The sequence below is a fragment of the Homo sapiens genome, chromosome 9 (genome assembly GCF_000001405.40).
Source record: "Homo sapiens chromosome 9, GRCh38.p14 Primary Assembly".
In the NCBI taxonomy this organism is placed as follows: domain Eukaryota; kingdom Metazoa; phylum Chordata; class Mammalia; order Primates; family Hominidae; genus Homo; species Homo sapiens.
Window position 1 is genome coordinate 90,020,386 of NC_000009.12, and position 22,566 is coordinate 90,042,951.

General features: G+C 44.7%; 1 long non-coding RNA gene and 1 other non-coding gene across 2 annotated transcripts, besides 2 other annotated features; both read right to left on the reverse strand.

Moving 5' to 3' along the window:
* MIR4290HG (MIR4290 host gene) lies at positions 269–21,114 on the reverse strand. The gene is made up of 4 exons (NR_038882.1): positions 20,908–21,114; positions 15,663–15,746; positions 4,178–5,714; positions 269–1,160 (listed from the first exon to the last, which is right to left on the reverse strand). It is a non-coding gene; the product is annotated as an MIR4290 host gene (long non-coding RNA).
* On the reverse strand, positions 3,056–3,150 carry MIR4290 (microRNA 4290). The gene has a single exon (NR_036253.1). It is a non-coding gene; the product is annotated as a microRNA 4290 (primary transcript).
* Positions 4,502–4,551: an enhancer, noted in NCBI's record as "active region_28567". NCBI's record gives its function as "activates an Ori minimal core promoter by ATAC-STARR-seq in GM12878 lymphoblastoid cells {active_cell/tissue: GM12878}" and the evidence as "EXISTENCE:reporter gene assay evidence [ECO:0000049][PMID:35858748]".
* Positions 13,799–14,336: an enhancer, noted in NCBI's record as "NANOG hESC enhancer chr9:92796466-92797003 (GRCh37/hg19 assembly coordinates)". NCBI's record gives its function as "activates a minimal SCP1, AML or CMV promoter by ChIP-STARR-seq in primed H9 embryonic stem cells {active_cell/tissue: H9 hESC(primed)}" and the evidence as "EXISTENCE:reporter gene assay evidence [ECO:0000049][PMID:30033119]".
* Positions 21,115–22,566: the final 1,452 nt, after the last annotated feature.

Here is a 22,566-nt window from a genome sequence, read left to right on the forward strand (position 1 = left end):
AGGCTGTTCCTGTGGTACTCACTGCAGTGCCCAGCATGCCAGCTGTCATGTCATGTCATGTCCTCATGCGATTAGAAGAATTCCAGTGTTACACAAACATGTATGGAATATTTCCTGTCACTGAACAAGTTTTCTGCTCTAGGGGTTTGTTTCTCTTTCTGAGTCAGGAATCAGAATTCAAAGATGGTTCATTGAATTGTCTGCCCACTGGTATCTGCTACGAAGGAAAGGAGAAATGGGTCTGAGTCATGTGAGGCATCACGACTTCTGTCAACTTTATTTTATTAACCTTGAAAACCGAGCTCTCACATGTCAGTAATAAACTTTTCCCTGAATGTTTACCAGAACCTCTATTTTAGGCTTGTCCTGTTTGTTTCTTGTCAGCATATTCTATCAGGAATATTCATAGTAATCTGGTCAGTACCTAAGAAAATCAACAGCAGATTATTTAGAAAACCCTCAAAGGTCTAGGGATGTTGTGTTTATTCAACATGTAGATCCAAATGATAAGGAATGCCTGATTAACTGTGGACATTATCATTAAATGAAATGAAAACTGAATTATGCACAGTTTTCTGGAGGTCTTGATTCATTTGATTATCTTCTGATATTTTCTGTTGCTTTTTGTGGTTTTGTGAGTTGTTGCAGGTTTTGATGGCTTAGGTAAGCAAGGGAATGGAGGTGCTACCCAGCAGTGAGATTGTATGGAGATCATTGGGAGGACAGGAAAACAGCCTGCCATGGTAGGTGTGCACGATTAAAATTAGGTCCAGAGTAATCTGGAAATAAGACAGCCTTGGAGGAAAAGGAAATCCAGTTTTCTGTTGAAGCTGCTCATTGAACCCCCGACGAGGTCACGGAAATAGCCCCTAAGAACACACGAGGCTCCATAATCGGTGCTAACATCTTATGACTTGCAAATGCACTGTGTTCTAGGATGCATAACAGGTTCTTCTCAGATCTCAACTCAGGACACTATTTCAAGAAAAGTCTCGTTACTCTTCTGTCAAGGACCCGCGGCGAGACTCCCGTGTGCCGCATGCTGCTGGGTCTCCATCCTGCTGGCAGCTAGTGTTGACCTAAACCTGCATGCAGGGGTTCTGCTGGGGTGAAAATGGAATAAGCTGCTTCCTTCCTCATGGGCAGGGAATGCACAGTGCCTGGTAAGCAGAGAGAGTTACTTGTTTAAAATTTCACTGTGCTGAAAGAGCTAGTACCAACACAAAAATCACAAAACACAAACCGGTTAAGTACAGAATGTCTCTCTCTGGGCATTCACTCTCAGAACAAAACAACATTGATGGAAATAGCCAAGAAGGAAGGGTGAAATATTTGCAAGCAGACAGGCATGAGGGCTTGAAGATATATTTAGGCTTCAGCTCCACCTTGCCTGGAAAATTTCTCAGTTACAGTAAACGAGTAGGGGACACAGCACCTGGATGACCAGGTTCTGAGAGTCAGCAACGGCTCAGTGCTGGGACATGTGGGCAGACCCACTGCCCCTGTAAACTCCTGTCTTCACCATGAGCATCTGCAATCCAGCAAGACCTGGTGACCCTCATGCCTGCACACCATGTTCTGTAACCTGGATTTCCAAAGGAGACCATGATTTCATTTAAATGTTTTTCCCCCACATATTTTTCCCTACAACCTTTTACAAATTTTCCCTACAACCTTTTACAAAGATGGTTCTGGAATCAAAAGCCAATTGATAGGCTTAGTAGAATTCTATCCTAAGATTTTACTGAACCAGACAGACTTTTCTTTAATAATGCCTGCCTAGCTGGCCTGAGTCCTGGGGATAAATTGTGAATTAAGTGTCACCATGTAGATAAAGATGCACAGCATCAGATAACTTCAGAGTAGTGCTACCGGACTGTGCCTTCATCTCATAGACTGAATGTTGTATCCTCCCAAAATTCATATGTGGAAGCTTGAACACCCAGTGTGGCTGTATTTGGATGCAGGGCCTTTACAGAAGTAAATAAGGTTAAATGAGGTTATAAGGGTGAGGCCCTGATCCAATAGGATTAGTGTCCTTGTAAGAGACACCAGAAGGCTTCCCCCACCTCTTCCTCCATACACAAAGAAGAGATCACATGAGCATGCAGGGAGGCTGTGGCCACCTACAAGCCAAGGGCAGAAACCTCAGAATGAGATCTACCTTGCTGGCACCTTGATCTTGGATGTCCAGCCTCTAGAACTGTGGGAGATACATTGCGGTGTCTACGCCACCCAGTCCATGGTATTTTGTGCTGGCAGCCTGAGCTTACTCACACACTGCATGAGTAAGCATACGTCTCCACTAGGTGTCTGCAGTACTAGTGATAACTGTAAGAACTTAGATTCACCATGCAGTAATGACTTGCTGAGTTTAGATTTGCCATCCAGTGATGACTTGCTGTGTGCCTGGCCCTGTTAAACACTCTAATCTGTATTTGTTTCTCCTTTTGCTGTGGGACATTTTCCTTCCATGTTCTTGCTGAGCCCTGGTCTGCAGTCTGTAGGGAATCTTGCACATCAACATGAAGACAATGTGCTATGCTCAGACAGGCTGATGTGGCATTGCTTTGTTGAAGCCATAACAAAAAACTGGGCTGCAGTCTCAGTTTTACATGTTTCATTTCCCTTTGGATTCATATAAATTTGACAGATTGTATTTCTGTGTCATCCCAGCACTGGGGGTCATGTGACAATCCTTTGGGTAAAAGTTGATCATGTAAACTTCCTGGGTTCACAGCCCAACCACAATATCTTTGGAATGAAGCTGTCCCAGCAGCAAGTTTATAAAATGGTCACTTATGGCATGGGACTTGTGGGGACAGGGGAAGAAAACCCCATCTAGAGACCTTGCTCCCAGTGATTTCTCTTCTCTCTTTAACCACTTCACTCATTTGAGTCTAGAAGGTTCTGGAAGATTCTGCCTTGAGTAAGTGATACCTGGACTCACTCTCTGCTTCCATTCAGTGGAAAGCTGAGTGGTCGCTGGGAACAAGCTACTGCCACATGGGCCATGGGATAGGTGCCTTGACAGGACCAGGGCTTCGAAGAGCGGGGTCAGAGGTGAGGGAAGAAAGGAGGGCAACCCTCTACCACCTATTTTGGTGGGATTCAGATTGGGACTGACCCTCCCTTCACCTTCTTGGTGGCAGCCCACCATGGGGCCAAGGGCTGTGTTCCTCTCTGCTCAAATCCCTCCCTCGTTTCCTCTTTCTTTGTCCTCCTATTTCAGTTCACACCAGCAAATACACTGCTCAGACTGTTCATGTGGCTATGGGACTGAGGGCTGAGGGTAGAGCTAGAGATTCTGTTTTGACCCCAGGTGTGTTTGACCCATCAGGTTGGCCAAGCCAACTTTGCCAATTGGCGAGGTGAAAGCCAGCACACCGTCCCCCTCCTGGCAGCCCAAAGTCAAGGCATCCTTTGCAGTTCAAGCAAGAAAGCAGAGAATCCTTCAGTCCTCAGTGTGGGACCAGTACTCCCCACTCCACAGCTGCGAAGGGACGCAGTCTGCATTGTTCAGGTAGCTAGACCTACAGCATCACTTTTTCAGGGTATCATGCATAGCAGTCACATCTCTCTACAGGAAATGTAAACCCACGGCCCATTAGGAGGGTGTTCTCCTGTGTAGACACAACACTGCCAAGAATTTTGCCAGGCGTGGCCTGATCTACAAAGTAGCGTCAATCTGCAGGAAGGAGCTCTTAATATTTGAGCAACAAGCAGCTAATTTCCCCTTTCTTTTCTAAACACAGTTTGAGTGAGGGTGTGATGATTTGGAAGAAACCCAGGTAAGCATGACCTTATTTAAGAAGACAAGTTTGATAGTCAAAGTCCCAACCCTGAGTGCTTCAAAAATGAGAGAAAGATCTGTGTTCCAGTCCAGATCTGCGACTAACTTATATGTTAAGTTTGCTTGGCAATTGAACTGGTACCTTTTCTCCCCTCGATTTACACTAGATAGGCCTTAAATGTGGAGTCTAGAAAATGAGAAACAAAAGAGTGATGCCAAAAGTCATTATTAATGACAATAGAAATTTTCTGTAGGAAATAGTCATCTCCCCTTCATTCTCATACCATCCATCATTTTTCCTTGAAAAGCTATTCCCCCCTCCCTTCCTCCCAACCACTCTGCTTCCTTCTATCCTCCTTTCTTGTCTTTCTTTTTCACTTCCACCTTTTATTCAGCCAGTATTTCTCACGTGTCAGTGTTGTTCTTTTTCACTTCCACCTTTTATTCAGCCAGTATTTCTCACGTGTCAGTGTTGTGCTAGGCTTCAGAGGAACAACCAGAAAGGCATGCGTGTTCTGTCCTTCAGAGCTCTCTGTCCTCCCAGAGCTCTCTGTCCTCCCAGAGGGGTCTTGATGGTGCTGGTAAACTGTGCTAAAGCTGCATGGAAGCTGGGCTGGGAGCTGAGGGACACAGGCAGGGGCCACCTAGCTCAGGGTCTGTGTGAGTATGGGGCGGAGGCTCTCATGGGCTTCCTGAGGAGGGGCTGCCAGATCCAATTCTCAAAGGCTGACAAGGACACAGATGGGCAAACAGCATCAGGTGCTCCAAGTCTAAGGACCAGCAAGCCCAGCGACCTGGCCCAGAGCACGGCAGGTGTGAAACACGGTGGCTCTCCGTGAGGAGCTCAGGGTGCAGCGTGGTGTGGGGGAAGTGGGGCTGCAGATGCAAGCAGAAGCCGTGTCAGGAGGGACTTTGCTCTTCCACTAGGAAGTCTGGCCTTGGCTGTGAAGGCACTGGGCGTTGCAGAAGGACTGAGAGGAGAGGGCCATGCCCAGCACCGTGTTCATGCACACATTTAGAGAAACTGGGCTTTTTCAGGAAATTTGGATGGAGGCTTTTGTGGCAACCCTGACCTGATGGAAGATAAAGATGTCAATATACACATGGTCCTGATGGGAGATATTTTGGAGATAGAATTGGTGGGCCTATTTACCAAGTAGCCCAAAGGGTGGGAGGGGGACTCTGCCATTGTTTGGGATCTTTGGTGATTTCTTTTTAAGGAGCTGATGGCTCAGGCAGAATGGTTCTAAGGGCCTTGAACACAGGCCTCTCCCACACGTCTTCCTTAATAGACTCCCGACTCCAGACAGGAGTCCAACATTAATACTTCATATCTGGGTGACCAAACCCTGCTGGCTCACACCTAGGAGAGGAGCAAGTGGAGGAAGCAGAGCCTTCTGGGAGGAGTGGGAGGAAGGCTTGCAAGGGGATGAGGCTGCTGCACCCAAGAGGAACCAAGCCTGGGTGCAGTGGGGTCTTGCACCCTCCTCCCAGTGTTCCACAGGATGGGTGTCTATGCCCAGGAGAAATGCACAGGAAGGGAGACACCTAGAGACACTCCCGTGGTCCAGACACATGGTGAACCCAAGCCCAGAAGACAGTCCAGGCTGACAACAGTAAGGCAGGGGCTGAACAAAACCCATCAGGGAGCAAGCTAAGGTGGTTGGCTCCTCCTGACGAATATTCAGAAGTGCTTCCTTTGCTCTTTTGAGTAACTAAAATTCAGCCAAATTGCATAGGAGAGAAGCCTCCTCCTGCCTAGGCTCCTCCTGGGCTGTTCAGGACAGCTGCAGCCAAGTTCAGACTTAGAGCTGTGAGTAAGCAAGAGGAAGCAAGGCAGGCAGCTCTACCGCTGGCAGGTCTGAGGCATCCCAGACAGCTCCGTGCAGCAAATTCTTCTGCAGTGACTGTTTGGCATCATCTGGGTGGAAACAAAACAAAACAGGTGAACAAAGAAACAGGAGCTGTAGCTTGCCAGTTTATAGGTATTTTTAATTGCCTCTTAGCTTTCTTGGTGCAGACATAGCATCCCTTTCTTTAAGTTTTGGGGGCTCACTAACCTTACAAGATGGTGGCATGAAAGTTCCTAGCACAGAGACAGGTCCACACAGATACTAAATAAAATAACTCAGTGAAAATTGTCCAAATCAGAGAAATGATTTGAAGGCATCTTATTTGTCAGGCTCTGTATCTATATTATTTCAACATCTCAAGTTCAGCTGTAGAGACAACTATATTATTTTGATTTAGTTGACAAGGAAACAGAGGCTCTGAGCATGTAGGTAACTTGTCCCTACTGTGACAGGCTGGGGTTCAGACCCAGAGCTAACTCCAAAATTTACACTTTTAAAAGGGAAATGTGGGTGGGAAGAATAGGATCTGTGGTCTGTTGATATTTCTTCTAGTGAGAACCTACCAGTGCCTTTTCCTCAAGGTATCAGGTAGATCAACCTGGAACATTCTATTTTGCTTCCTGTAACCCTCCAATGGTGTAGGGGAGTTGAGGTGAGGAAGGGGTGGGGTGGTAAAGGTGAAAGTCAATTTCAATCTTTTAGTTATAAAAGTCCATGGGTAGATTCCAATGCCTTCCTTCACCAGCCTATTTCTGCAAATTCTCCAGTGTGTCCATCCACCCTTAACTGTGTTCATAAATCATATCTCACAAACTTCATCATCCCTTAACTTTGTTGTAGCACCTGGTCACAATTTTCTTCTTACTAAATGATATATCATGATTCAGCAACCATGCAGAGGACAACTCAATTCTATGTCAACCTTGTAGGCATAAAAATGAAGCAAACAAGCCTTCAAGAAGGCCACTTGCAGGCATGTATACTGACCTCAGGCCTCTCTTGGCCCAATGTTTGTGAACAGAAGTCAGAAGGTGGCAGTTGGGGGATACAGAATTTACTTTGTAGTTTGCAAAAGAAACAAGCAATCTTTGAGATCCAGGCCCTTCTATGTCCTGCAAATCACAACTGATGTTTCATCTGCATTTGCACAAAAGATTCTTTTGCCCCCTGGGGTGCCATATTTTCATCACATACCGCAGTGCTGAAAATGCTGCTTTGGTTTGTGTGAAAGAAGGGATGGAAGACTTTAGTGAGTTTTTAAAGTATTCCTTTTAGAATTAAATGAATACTGTGGAACAAGGACATGTTACTGAATCACACCGATCAAGTCTGTGGTCCAACCTTTGAGCCCTACAAGGGGCAGCCAGGACACCAGCCTCATATGTAACCTAGTGGGGTTGCCATAGCAGAACACCATAGACTGGGTGGCTTAAACAATAAACATTTATTTCTCACAGTCCTGAAGGCTTGAAGTCAAGATCAGGGTACCAGTATGGTCAAGGTCTTGGTAAGGGCCCTCTTTCTCATTCACAGATAGTCATCTTTTAGTCATCTCACAGTGGAGAGCAGAGGGAGAAAAGACAAGCTCTCTCAAGTCAGTTCTTGTAAAGACACTAATCTCACCATGAGGGTTTCACTCTGTGACCTATTTACCTCTCAAAGACCCCATCACCAAATGCTTTCACATTGGGGATTAGGGTTTCAATATATGGATTTTGGAGGGATACAAATATGTCCTTGTCATATAGTAATTGACACAGTGTGGTATCAGTGAAAGAATAGACAAGCATCTCAACAGAACAGTGTACAGAGCCCAATAGATTCACATAAATATAGTCAACTGAACTTTGACTAAGACAAAGGCAATACAATGGAGAAATGTCTTTTTAACAAATGGGGCTGAAACAACTGGACACCCTCATGCCAAAAAAAAAAAAAAGTTCTAGATACAGATCTTGTACTCTTCACAAAATTAACTAAAGTAGGCAATAGACTTGAGTCTAAAATGTAAAACAAAACTCCCGGAAGATAACATAGGAGAATACCTAGATGACCTTGGGTATGGTGATGACTTTTTAGATACAACAGCTAAGGCTCAGTCCATGAAAGAAATAATTGATAACTGGATTTCAGTAAAATAAAACATTTTTGTGCAGCAAAAGACAACATCAAGAGAATGAGAAGCCAAACAACTAGATTAAAAAATGAGTGAAAGACTTTAATAGAAATCTTACTAAAGAGGAGGTACAGCTGGAAAGTAAGCATGTGAAAAGATGCCCCACATCATTGTCATTAGGGAACTGCAAATTGAAACAATGAGATACCACCACACACCAAAACCCAGAACTCTGACAACACTAAATCCTGGTGAGGACATGGAGCAGCAAGAACTCTCATTCAATGCTGATGGGGATGCAAAATGTACAGTCGCTTTGGAAGGCAGTTTATCAGTTTCTTACAAAACTAAACATAAGATCTAGCAATCATGCTCCTTGGTATTTACTCAAAGGAGTTGGAAACTATGTCCACACAAAAAAAACTGCATATAGATGATTATAGTAGCTATATTCATCATTGCCAAAACTTGGAAGCAACCAAGATGTCCTTCAGTAGGTGAATAGATAAATAAAATGTGGTACATTCATACAATGGAATGTTATTCCACCCTAAAAAGAAAGGAACTATCAAGCCATGAAAAGACATGGGGGAATCCTTAAATGCATATTACTAAGTGAAAGAAGTCAACCTGAAATGGCTACTTACTGTATGTTCTAATTATATGACATTCTGGAAAGGAAAAAATATAGAGACAGTAAAAAGTCAGTGGTTGCCAGGAGTTAGAAGGGAGAGAGGGATGAATAGGTTGAGCATAGAAGATTTTTAGGGCATGAAAATAACTACCCTGTGTGATATTATACTGGTGGATACATGCCATTATACATTTGTCAAAACCCATTGACGGTACCGCCCCAAAAGTGAATTCCGATGTCAACTATGGACTCTGGGTAATAATGATATGTCAATGTAGATTCATCCATTGTAACAAATGAACCTCTCTGGTGGGGAGATGTTGATAATGGGGAAGGCTGTGGATGTGTGGGGGCAGAGGGTAAATGGGAAATCTCTGTACTTTTCACTCAATTTTGCTGTGAACCTAAAACTGCTCTAAAAATAAAGTTTATTAATTATTTTTAAAATAGTAATATTGCCAGTGAGGAAGAGCCTGCAGAAATGGAGCAACTAATTAAAGGAAGGTATTTCTAATGCCCCCTTTTGCAAGTATTGATAATCAGATAAGTCCACCTGCAGATGGAAAAGTATGTGGATATGTTGTCTTTTGCTATGTAAAAAATTACCCCAGACTCAGTGGCTTAAAACAACATATATTTATTACGTCACCATTTCTATGGGTCAGGAATCCAGGCTGGATTCTCTGTGAAGGGTTTCCAACTGGCTACAATTAGGGTGTTAGCTGGCCTGCATTCATTCCTGCAGCTCAGGGTCCTCTTTAGTTCCTGAAAGTTGTAGGACTGAGGCTCTCATTCTCTGCTGGCTGCTTGCCAGGGGCTGCTCTCAGCTCCTGGAGGTTTCTGGGGTTCCTTGCTACTTGGCCCCATCCACAGCTTCTCTCATGCTTAGAATCTTTCTTTCTTCAGAAAGGGCCTTTAAGAATCTTACCTGACTAGGTCAGGCCTTCCTGGATAGTCTCTTTTAATCAATTCAAAGTCAGCCAAGTTTTGATCAAATTATGAAATTGCTGTTCCGTCGTATTCATGGGTTTCTCCCTCACCTAAGGGGGGGGATTCCACAGGGCATGGATGTGAGAGGGTGGAAATCTTGGGAGTCACTGTAGAATTCTGCCTGCTATGGTGTTTCTATTTTATAACCATACAAGACAAGAAATTAACCACAGCCAAATAAAGCATGCCATGTCTAGTAGCTTAAATCTTTGCCCCCCGGAATCAACTGGCTTTGGCAGGTCTTACTGAGCTGCAAAAGCAAGTTACACAACCTCCCTGGGTTCCCCGTCTGTATGATGTGGATCATGACCAGACCCATTTCATGGAGTGGCACAGAAGATTTACTGATCTCATCCCGGCACAGCTTTTGGTTTGGTGCTTGGTGCATGGTGACTCAGAGTGAGTGAGCATCTCTTGTGAGTGCTTTTCTATAAAGTTGTTATAAGGCCCTGGCAGGGCGTGTGGGGTTATCTTGTGCTTGCAAACACCACAGTGCTGTTGTCAAAACTGAGAATTGGAAAGGAGCCCAAGACCACAGAGCGCTTGGGATGGGAATTCTGCAAGCTAGGTACAAGCCTGCCTGAGGACGTGAGGGATTAAGCTGTGAAAACCTACAGGACCCAGCAGACCCTTGGATGTGGCTAAATCTTCAACCAAACATACACCCATCCTCAGTTGAGTAGAGCGGAGCCATCCAGCATGGGATGGGGCAATATGGCAGAGTTGACACGATACATGAGGCTGGTGACATCACCACTGATTACCCTGTGCTTTAAAGGACAATTAGGGACCCTCTGAGGTCCTAAGTACTGAAAAATTGTGTACACATTCCCATGCTGTAGTCCTACTTCTAATGCCAACTCTATTGTGGCCCAATTAAGGGAAATTAAACTGCTTTCCTCCTGGGAAACAAGTTGCATAAACCCAACGCCCTGGATGGCCCCATGCAAGTTACTTAACAGCTTTGCCTTAAGTCAATCAAAACATGGCCTGCCTTGGGAGACAGTCATTAGAGAATGCTGGCATGGCATCTTCTGATGGTAATTATTGTTATTGGGAGGCGCTCATCAAGAATGTTGAGCATTGTTTTGCAAGAGGCTGTGTTTATTAAAATGCAAATTATCCTATGCCACCCTCTCCTCTTCAAGCTTTGGAAATCAAAGAGAAGTATGCAGTACATGTTTATTTTAAGACAACTTTTCCCACCAACTTAGTCCTATAGCTTGCAGTTGAAATATTGGATGACTATATGTCTTTTGGCAGGGGTACTTGTTTCATTTTTATGTACCTTTTGGAAAAGAAATACCAGCAAGTATGGTGTTCAGTCCAATTATGGCCTGAATGGAGAACATGTGTCTCGGACACTTCAGACTCTAGACCTGTGCTGGCCCACATGGCCACTATCAGCCACGTGTGGCTATGGAGCTGTTGAAATGTGGCTGCTCTGAACTGAGACGTGCTGTATGTGTAAAATACACACTGAGTTTTGAAGACTTACAACGGAAAATACAAAGAAAAATAATACATTAATACTTTTTGGGAACTGATTACATGTTGAAATGATAATATTTTAGCTATAGTGGGCAAAAGCATTTTTATTATAAAAATTAATTTTACCCGCTTCTTTAGACTTTTTGAAAATGTGGCTTCTAGAAAACGTACAATTGCAGATGTCTCTCGTGTTCTATTTCTGTCTTTCAAGGCTGCCCTGGATGGAATGGGGGCCGTGGTTTGAAGCTTGGCTGTGTTGCTTGGAATTACCGCCCTCTTGGGCATTCTGCTTCTGAGGCTGCAATTGCCAATCTCACCAACCCACCGGACCAGAGGACCCTGGCTTCCAAGGTATTGGCATCCCCTGATCAAGGTCTGTATGAGACTCCCCCATTGTCTAGCTTATTCCCACTTGCTTGACACACCTTCCCCATGTCCCAGCCACCTTTATGCCTGGTTGCCCAAACATTACAGGTCTGCGGTTCCCATGAGACACTGAACGAGCTGTTCCACTGCATGGAATCCTTCCAGCCTGAATGCTTCTGGGACCTCCTGTCCCCCACAAAAGCCACGTTTCCTCTCCCCTCCTCTGACCAGCCTTTCCCGAGGCACCTGCCCATGCATAGTCTCAGGGGGTCTCCCCCGAGGCACCTGCCCATGCATAGTCTCAGGGGGTCCCTCCCTGCATTCTCGCTGGGCCTTGTCTATGTGTTTATTATAGTGCATTGACATCGTGTTGAAATTGTCTGTTTATGCATCTATCTCCTCATTAGGCTGCTTGCTCCTCAAGGGTAGGGAATCACAACTTTCTATCTGTGTATCCATGATACTTAGTAAATATTTGTGAAATGCACATAGATTGAAAGAGTCAGAGGGTAAATAGCGCTTGGTTGCTAACATTGCGCCACTGCACAATGCTGCACCAATGGCTGTGGTGCTGCAAGCTTTATTTTTAATTTTCTGTTTGTTATTATTGTTATTATTTTTAATGACAATGAAAACCACTGCAGGGAGTAAACCCAATGACTCTCCTCTGGAGTGATAAAGAGTCCACGATGCACTTTCTTCCCTTTCTAGGCAGCCAGCCTCCCCTGGGGTCACCCACAACCCTGGTTTGTTATGGTGGGTTGGACCACGGAGGAATGCCACAACATGCCAATTAACCACCTGCTGGGACGGTGATCTTGCTAACATGAAACATGGAGGGTGATTGGCTGTTTGCCTGTTTTCATAAGAGATAGAAATCTCCTGCTTTGTGCCATGCAGGTCAGTGTTTGTGTAGTTTAGGCTGCGCGTCTGTTTGGGGTTGTTGAGGCCACACCGCCCCCACATGAGGACGTTGCTCCCTGGCCTGAATTGCCCTCCTTTTGCCGAACCACAGGGCAGAGCTCCTTGTGCAGGGCACTGCCCACCTTCCCACTACAGGGTGCAAATTCAGACAAAATATTCAGTTCCAGGGATTCCCTGCTTCAGGATAATTCAATATACAGAAAGCTAACTTTCAGAAACAAGGATTGACTAGAAGCAGTTCTTTCCCTGAGAAAGGAACTTCCTGGGGACCTGCTCTAAGTTCTTATAAGGCATCGACATGACTCAGTCAGAAATAGTCTTTGATTTGTAATTTAATTGACTCATAGCTTTACAGACATATGCCTTTTGATAGATGGGAACCCAGTTTTTTTTTGGTGAGAAGAGCAAGGAAAGTTTTGCCTGTCCAAATAACAACAACAACAACAAAATAACTCATAGAGGAATCCACTAACTCATTTACCTACAGAGCTGCAAGGGGAATCCACTGAAAGCTGCAGAGTGGGGAAGTGAGGCGGGAAGCATGAGGCACTCCCGTGTGACGCTGTGGTGGTGGGTAACTGGGCCCATGCCCGCAGCTTACCTCCTGGTGGTGGCAGGCCCAGCTCCTCTCTTGCGACAGTGACCTGCTGGTCACATCACACCACCGCTGGGTCCAATACCATATTGCATTTCTCCATCATAGACGCCTCCCCCTAGAGCCAACTGGAGGTTGCAGTTTGCTCAATGAGACCCAGATTTGAAATTCAAGATATGTGTTGTTTTCCTCTGTGGGATACTGGTGTTGTTAGCATGTCACTTGTTGGCCCTTTAGGGATAGGTTCCAAGTTGCCAATCCACCCAGCCCTGTGTGGCCCTAAGCCCAGCTGCCAATACTCTCCCTGTGACTTTCCTGAGAGGTGGTGTGAGGAGTCTCACTGGCCCAACAGCCAGGAACCCAGCTTCTGCAGACACTGAGAGCATGCTCTGTCTGACTGTCAACAATAGTCCTCTATTCTCAGTCCATCTCTGGGAAGGTTTGATGTTAGAGCAAGCATTGCACAGTAAACCCTGCACCTGCCTACCATCCTTGCCACTTCTGTCCTAAGTGTATATGGCTCGTCTTCCAGGTTTTTCTTGTTTCTGTTTTCCTTTGTCTTTTTTTTTTTTTTTTTACACAGTCTCACTGTCTCACCCAGGCTGGAGTGCAGTGGCACGATCTCGACTCACTGCAACCTCCACCTCTCAGGTACAAGCAATTCTCCTGTCTCAGCCTCCCGAGTAGCTGGGACTACAGGTGACTGTCACCACCTCTGGCTAATTTTTGTATTTTTAGTAGAGATGGGGTTTCACCATGTTGGTCAGGCTGGTCTCGAACTCCTAACCTCAGGTGATCCACCCGCCTCAGCCTCCCAAAGTGCTGAGATTACAGGCATGAGCCACCGCGTCTGGCCTTTTATCTCTTTTTAAAAAATTCAAGTACTGGCCTTGTATTGACTGCATATTGACTATATCAAGGCAGAGACTCAGCACACAGGGCTTCAGACAGTGTACTGGGCTAAAAGTTAGTGACTGGATTCTGGATCCTTATTGACTCTGAGGTTCCATGGCCTCATTTTACTCACCAGGCCTCAGTTGAATCATTTGGAATCTGAACACATGGCCCTACATACTCCAATAGCCTGCAAAGCCCGTGAACAAACGAAATCGCTGAGATGATTCAACTGTCAGTGCCCTGTGTCAACGTGAATGAGCTGAGTAGAGAAGCCCCTCCCTCCTTCACATCACAGGAGTCAACAGCTACTGAGACCTGTGGATCTTCACAGTTGGAAATATTATGCCCCTGGAAAAGCAGTTATGTCTCTAATGCTTTGATTCGTTCCAAAACTGCATTTAAAACAAGAAGACATAAAACTGCCCCACTGAACAGTGTGATTCAGACAGGTGACCTGTTGTTTTCTCTTAGTCAATCAAAACATCATGTCCAAATGTTTTTTTCCTGCAAATTGACTGAACTGATTGTTATTAGCATGTCAATGCTTCAAAAGAAAGTGCTAACTTCAGAGCCAAATGTAGGATTGGTTTTGTTGTTCCATACGTAGATACTTTAGCATGTTTACCATTGTGGTTGGCAGTTTGGAGCGGGAGTTAAATATATCATGTTTAAAATGCAATGATTAATATTAACTCTGACTAATAATATTCACAGCACATGATATTTTCACATTTCTTACCTCATTGGAACACGCTGAAAACTCAATGAGGCCAGTATTTTTGTTTATTGAAAGGTACCCTCGTGCTCAGAGAAATAAAGTTGTTTTCAGGGTCACGAGCCTGTGGGCTCATGAGCCAGGTGTTCAGACTTATGTCCCTACTCACTCCATCATGTCCTATGCCTTTAAAATATGCATTTGTAACAGTTTTAAGTGACAAATCAAATAAGCAGGTTGAAATAAATAATGCAGTTATTGAGAATATCTGAAGCTAAAGATTTTACAATACATCTAGCAAAACATTTCTATTTTAAACTACTATTTAAATAAAGGTTGTTAGTGCTCTGTGATCCGTATCAGCCCTAGTCTTCATTCCTTTGGATTACTGAAGGTCTTTATGGCCATTTATTCATTTAAGAGCAATAATTGCATTTTAAGCAATTTATTTGAAGGGCCAGTGACACTTATTTAACATGCCTTTTATTAATTATTAAGATAAAGTTCTTTCTGGGCTCACTCTTTATAACTATGCATTACAAAGAACAGCTTTCTTATGTCTTTTCTTTGCAGAAAAGCCCCTATCAGTTTCCTTAACATTCAACTAAACCTCCCTCCTCTTATAGGATTTAATGGGATTGACATTCATCTAAAGGGTTTAACTTGGCTTCTGTGTTATAAAGTGGCCTCTGTTGGATAGGACTCAGTTAATTCCATATATCTGGTTGAAATACAGAGCAACACATGATTCCTAAGTACAGAGTGCATTTCTCTCACTACAGTGCTGAAGTCTATAACTAGGGTGCTGTCCCCAGGCTTCACAAGTTTATTATTATAGAAGACCTCTCATCCACTGTCCTCCACGCCAGTACCTCCACCTGGTCTTTAGCAAAACGAGGAAGGCCAGTGTGGAAGCTCTCACCAGCCAAGAACCCACTGTCTATAACTGACACCAGAATGAAGTGGAGTGGGTAGGACAAGGGGCTTCTGGCAGGCCCAGTGAGCTGGTAGCATTTGTGGACAGCCAGTCATGTGCTGAAGCTTCCAGCATTCAGCATACAAGGTGTTCATTGTGTAAACTGCAGGATAGATACAGGGCTTGGGAGAAAGTCTTCTGTTGAGGCTCGCAACTCCAGGCATTTTGCAGAGCTAAGTCAGCATCATCAGTAACAAAGAGTACTCTTGCACATGACACAATTAGCTGAATCTAAGGAATAGTCTTTTTAAAATAATAAGGGACACAGGAGACTTTTCCAGAAAGTAAACGAAATCTAAGATCAGGTCTCACCTTAGATTATCTGGCCTGCAGCTGATGACGTGGAGGACAATGCTTGACTTGGTGCCAGTCAAGACACTGGACCAGAAATGATCACTGCTGGAGAAAAAAAAAATGCAGACACACACACATGTGTGCATGCATACATGAACACACACATACACTCATGTACAGAGATATAACTATACACACAGGCACACACACACATGTGCACTTACTCACAGATATATGCCCAAATACGAACACATACACACATGCACGCACACAAACACAATCAGTTTCTCTTAACTCTTTAAATCCTTTTCTTTTATCTGTTAAATTCCTTAAATAAATGTTCACCTAAAATGCTTGAGTAGGACTGATGTTTTTCATCTCCTAAATTGTGTGGTAGCTCAGATGTGGGTAAGTCAGTCTACAAGCACTAGGCTGAAAACAGCTGAAGCACTAAGCACTATATTATTTTATTGTAGCTTTCCTCTGAAGAACTCTAAACACTTTGTTGAGCATATCTTGTGTTGCTTTACCTGGGAGAAAACAGTTGTTATTATTCCCACTTTCCTAGAGGGAAATGGACATTGTGTGTAAGTCAACCAGCCCTCAGTAATGCTGGGGCCAGGGAACCTGCCCTTCTCTCACTTATGCTAAATGGGACATTTTTAATTTTGTTTACTACTGTGGGTAGAGACTATATCTGTATGGACTGCTACACCTCCTGGGAGAAGCAGATATATTCCTGAATGTGAAATAGTATAGAAACAGTTCTTTAATCTGATGATATTTTAAGTGCTCCAGGAGAAATTGCTATAGGAGATTTGCAGAGGTTTTTCATGGAGGCAATTAATGATTGACAATCAATATACAGTCAGTAAATGATTGGATTTTCCCATAGAGCAATTGCCTCACTAATCTTTTAGAAATATGAGAATGAGAAATACACACTGTTAATTAACAATTATTATTAACTAACATTGTCCCCAATCTCCCAAAAACCTTCTTGGCATTCTGGAAGTTCCATCTGGAACCTGCAGAAGAAGCTGTGTCCCAGTACCTTCTGGCTCCTGCACCACTCCCTGGCTCATCCCTGGATTGGCCTGTGTAGGCAGCAGAGGCCACCTCCACTGAGGATGTGGATCTGCCGGCTTTGCCTCCTCCAACTTCTGTTGGGGCTGCCCATGGGGAGCAATGTGAGCAAACCCTTAGACAACTTGCATGGCACCTAAGCTCTGGTGCATTTTAATTAGTCATGGAGCAGTGGAGTCCTCCAGCCCTTTCACAGAAGCAGGCTCCATGTGCACTGCTGATCCTTAGGGGACATTAAGCATTCTGAGCTGCTTTGCCTCTACCAAAGCGTGGTGTGCTGACAGCTGCTTGCCCCCTACTGTGGGTTTTGCAAGAGAGGAGTTTTGTATTCATCTGTTTGCCACCGTGATCCAGGAACCCTTTTCTCGCTCAGGAGGACGACTGATTCCGAGGTACCGCGTAGACTGGAATCTCATCTCATTTCTTCCTTGCTTGCTACCAGGACCGAATGGCGCGGCTCACTCATGCATTCCTCAGAATGCTCAGAGCATGCTCTGCCCTTCCCCATGGAAGGCTGGGCCAGCCCTTCCCTTCTTCATACATAGGACAGGACCCTGGGAGGTTCAGTCCTGCCTCATTCTTCCTGCTGCTGCTGGCCTTACCAGAATTCCCACTGGCATCAGGATTTGCACAGCCAACCTTCTGCTGTGTGGCAGTCATGTGTTCTTATGAGAGTAATGCTGGAGGTGGCATCTGAGATGCAGGAAGAAAACATCATTGATGAGCAACATAAAAGAGCAAAAGCATTCAATGCTCAAGAGGATGTTGTGGATCCCAGAATATTTATCCCACACCAAACTGATAGCAGAGACGGGGTTCAAGTCCAGGTGTTGGGATGGCTGAGAAAGGGGTTCAGACAGAGCTGGGAGTGAGCCCAGGGGTGCAAGGGCATGGCAGCATCTCCACACTCCACTTCCTCATCTGTAGAAGGGAGGCCTGGATGCCTGTCTCAGCTGAAGGCAGGGAATGGCAGCTATTCTGGAACAACTCACCAATTCTGTCTCCCTGTTGGTTTGTTTTCTTTTGGGGATGCTTGATATGTGCAAATGAAACCTGAGCATGTTCCCCACAGTGGAACACTTCTATCTATTCAATCTGGCCACATGATTATATAGTCCTATATCATCATAGGAATATATAAAGTGTGACTACATTTTATAACATCTATTTTGTGGGGTAATTAAAACTGAAGAAGTGAGATCCTGGTGGGGATGAGTGAACCAGGCCTTTTTATGCCAGCTTCTATAAGAAAAGAAGTGGAGTTTGCTTTGTGTCAGTAAGCAGTGCAAAAATCAGACATAGATAGATAAACAGATAGATAGATATACATACATATAAACACACATATACATATGTGTACATAGCTGCAAGTGAGAATTTTGGAATTATTTTTTACGTGACTTGCTTTATTGCAATATTCACTTTATCGTGGTGGTCTAGAACTTAACCTGCACTATCTCCCAGGAATGCCTGTATAAAATTATTTATTTTTTATTTTACATTTTATTAATTTAATTTTATTTGTAAATTTACATATAATTAAATTGTACGTATTTATGGGGTATGTAGTGAGGTTTTGATGCATTTTAGTAGCTTGCTAGAGCCGCCGAGCACCGGTGTGCTCACTTCTCATGGCGTGCCGAGTCTGTGGTAGAAATGGTTGATGGCCTGTGATTCCAGGTGTTAGCAAATTAACAGCCTCAAGCAGACAATTGATGCATTCATTGGATGGCGCCAGAGCTCAAATGCTCCAGCTAAATGACATTTATCATGCCCCATTTAACAAGCCTCCTTAATTCACTCTCTTTGGCCTCCTGTGTTTACGAGGAACCAGCATGGTCGGTTTGTGGAATGCAGCACGCATCACCCCCAGAGAGCATCACCCACAGAACACTGGACCTGGAAATGCCAAGGGGAGGGGCATGGCTCTGAGCTGGGCTGTGGATCCAGTAGTCAAAGCCTCCGGAGCAGGGCCGAGCTAGGCAGGCCCGCCCACGCCCTGACTGTCCATCTCCTTGTTTTGGTCCAGCTGTCTCCTCCGAAGAAGGCAGGGACTTCATCTTTTACGTCCTCATAACTAGCGCTTTCCAGGATGACTTGATGGGTTCTTGAATTCGAAAATGATTCTGAAGGAACTATAGTATGATTTATGGATTAAATAATGATTTTCTGGAATAGGGTAACACGATTCCCACAAGCCTAGTTATTTCTTGCCTGGGTTGTTTTTACTTATTTTATTTATTTATTTTTTTGAGATAGAGTCTTGCTGTGTTACCCAGGCTGGAGTGCAATGGCGCGATCCCCACTCACTGCCACCTGTGCCTCCCAGGTTCAAGTGATTCTCATGCCTCAGCCTCCCAAGTAGCTGGGACAACAGGCAAGCACCACCATGCCTGGCTAATTTTTTGTATTTTTTAGTAGAGATGGGGTTTCACCATGTTGGTCAGGCTGGTCTCAAACTTCTGACCTCAAATGATCTGCCCTCCTTGGCCTCCCAAAGTGCTGGGATTACAGGCATGAGCCACAGCTCCCAGCCTCTTGCCTGGGTTATTGCAATAGCCTCCTCACTGCTCTCCTGCTGGGGCTCCCTGCCCAGAAGGCACCTTCACACCCACACCATGAGGCCTGCTTGTGCAAGAGGAGAGAGATCTGGAACATCTATTCAAGACAAAGTTATTCATTCTCTCGTTAAAGCATGATAAGGCAGACTTTATTTAGGACCATTATGATAGGTACAGGAACCACTGTGGTGGGGTCTTGCTGTGGGGGAGAGATACTGGGCTCAACTCTGAACACAACAAGGAAAAGTGGGAATTTATCACCAAGGAGTAGGACAGGGGTCAGTGGATGGAAAATTACTCAGAAGAAACATCAGGGCTGTGGGGGGATTCTGGCTTAACTGACCTGAGAGGATTATTGCTGAAGACAAACCAGGGTGACCAGACATCATCTGGGAGTGGTGGGGGATAAGGAACCTGATCAGATACCGAGGGTGGGGTTCCTGGCTAAACTGACTTAGCAGGTTTCTTGCTAAAACTGGACAATGCAGACACGAACATGGGGGTCGCAAAGTCAGACATAGTCGGAAAAGAGCTCAGGAAGGCCTGAGTAGAGTTGGGTTGGGGAGACGTTCTTTGTCACATCCCTACTGGGCCTCCCGGAACCCCCCTCTGACTTGATTCTCAAAATCTCTTTTTTTTAATCCATAAAGGATAGGATAGCCTGTGCAGCAGGGAGTCACAGGGGCTCTTCTGATTTCAAGCTGCATCCAAGAGCAAAGGGTCACATATCCTACCAGAGTGAGCGGCTTTCCCGGAAAGACTTGTGAAGGGCAGCCCCAACAAAATTTGTTCTGCCTCCTGGGCCCTAAAGGAGGACTGTGAGGAGGGTGCAACGAGGTCTCTTTGAAGAAGCTATGCAGATACTTCACCTGTCACCTTTCCCTGTGGGGATAGGTGTGTTTTCCCCAGCTCATGCCAAATGAGGATGATTGGAGAGAACTCCCTGAAAAGCTGCCCCTGGCTTGGCAAAATTTACAGTGTCAGAAGCTGCCTAGAGCTTCCTGGGAGGACAGAGTGGGAGAGACAGAGCGACTTGTGTCCTGAGAGCAGATGGGCATCTCAGGCATGGATCACAGAGGACCCTGGGAACCTTGCCACCAGCAGGGCCTGGGATAGCCCCAGGTCGTGCCTGACTCTGCTAGGGTTAGACGACACAGGGCCACAGGGACTGCCTTCTGAGAACCTGCAGGAGCTCCAAATAGGAAAAGAGAGTCAGATAAGCTCACCAAGACAGAAAGTAGAATGGTGGTCACCAGGCGCTAGCGGGAGAAAGGGGAACAGGGAGGTGTTTGATGGGTACGGAGTTTCTGTTTGGGAAGATGAAGAATTTCTGGGGATGGATGGTGGTATCAGTTTTACAAAAATGTGAATGCACTTAATGCCATTCAACTGTAACTTTAATGTGGCTAAGATGGTCAATTTTATGTTATGTATATTTTATCACAATTTTAAAAAGAAAGAGAATCCAAGTGTTGGCATCTACTGTCCAGCAGGCACCAATGTCCAACTGAAATGTCACCAATGAGATAAGGCCCTCTCCACTGGCCCACCATCTTGGCCATCTGTGGAGACCAACACAGGGAATGGGCATGAGGAAGAATAAGGTCAGGACTCACCCCGTCCTCAGGTTCTGAGGGTCTGGTCAGGAGCCGCCATTGTGTCCAGAGTCAGTTCCTGCCGGTGGGTTCATGGTCTCGCTGACTTCAAGAATAAAGCTGTGGACCTTCGCAGTGAGTGTTACAGCTCTTAAAGATGGCACAGACCCAAAGAGTGAGTGGTAGCAAGGTTTACTGTGAAGACTGCAAGGACAAAGCTTCCACAGCGTGGAAGGGGACCCCAGCAGGTTGCCAGCTGCTGGCTGGGGGTTGCCAGCTTTTATTCCCTTATTGTCCCCTCCCATGTTCCTTTTCTGTCCTATCAGAGTGCCCTTTTTTCAATCCTCCCCAGGATTGGCTACTTTTATAATCCTGCTGATTGGTGCATTTTACAGAGCACTGATTGGTGCGTTTTACAATCCTCTTGTAAGACAGGAAAGTTCCCTAAGTCCCCACTCGACCCAGGAAGTCCAGCTGGCTTCACTTCTCACCATGGCTGGGGGAGCCCTTCCTCAGATGAGAGTGGGAGACTGAGGTTTAGATTAGGCTGGACATTCAATATCTGATCATCAGACTGGGGAATGATAACCGGAGATGACCGTAATGGTTGATCCTGATAGTGCCTGAGATGCCTTCTGGAACCTGAGAAGGGAGAAACATTTGACTTGTGCTGTGTAAGGGAAAAAGTCTATTTCATAATTCTGCCCTCCAAGTTCCATTTAGTCAATAAGTTATGCATGCTTGACTATAGGATTGTTTTTTTAATTACAACAAAGGATACCCCAAACAAAACAAAGGCAAGGATACTGGGGAAAATATTACTTGAGCTATAACAAGAGTTAATATGGACAACATATCAATAACTTTTACAAACTTATAATAAAAGTGAAATAACACAGAAAAAAATGAGTGAATCCTATTCATAGGCAATTCACAGACAGGTGAATGCAAATGGTTGATAAGCATATTTTTAAAAATATCAAGTCGTATATGGAAGCATCAAAAAGTAAATGAAAATAAATAATTACATCTATCTTGGTTTATCATATTGGAAAAACCATCATATTAATATTATCCACGTTGGTGAGGAGGTAAAGGAGAGAGCATTTTATATGTTGTTTATTATATTTTCCCATCCACACACACACACATATGCACACACACATGCACACACATCCATCTGTTCCATTTCTGCTCATCTAGTCTGCAGAAATGAAGTCATTTGCGCATATCATAGGTACAATGAGACATATTCCAGCACAAAATTGCAAGTCCACCAACAGGAAAATGCTTAAATAAGTTGACTACACACCTAATATAGAGTATCGTTCAGATATTAAGCATGTTGAGTTAGATCCACATTCATCGAATTATAGGGATGCCCATGCCATGAAGTAAAGAAATAAGTTGGACAGATATATAAATATAACAATGAGCTGGGCGCGGTGGCTCATGTCTGTAATCCCAGCACTTTGGGAGGCTGAGGCGGGCAGATCACTTGAGGTCAGCAGTTCGAGACCAACCTGGCCAATATGGTGAAATCCCATCTCTACTAAAAATACAAAAATTAGCTGGGCGTGGTAGCAGGTACCTGTAATCCCAGCTACTTAGGAGGCTGAGGCAGGAGAATTGCTTGAACCCAGGAGGCGGAGCTTACTGTGAGCCGAGATCATGCCTCTG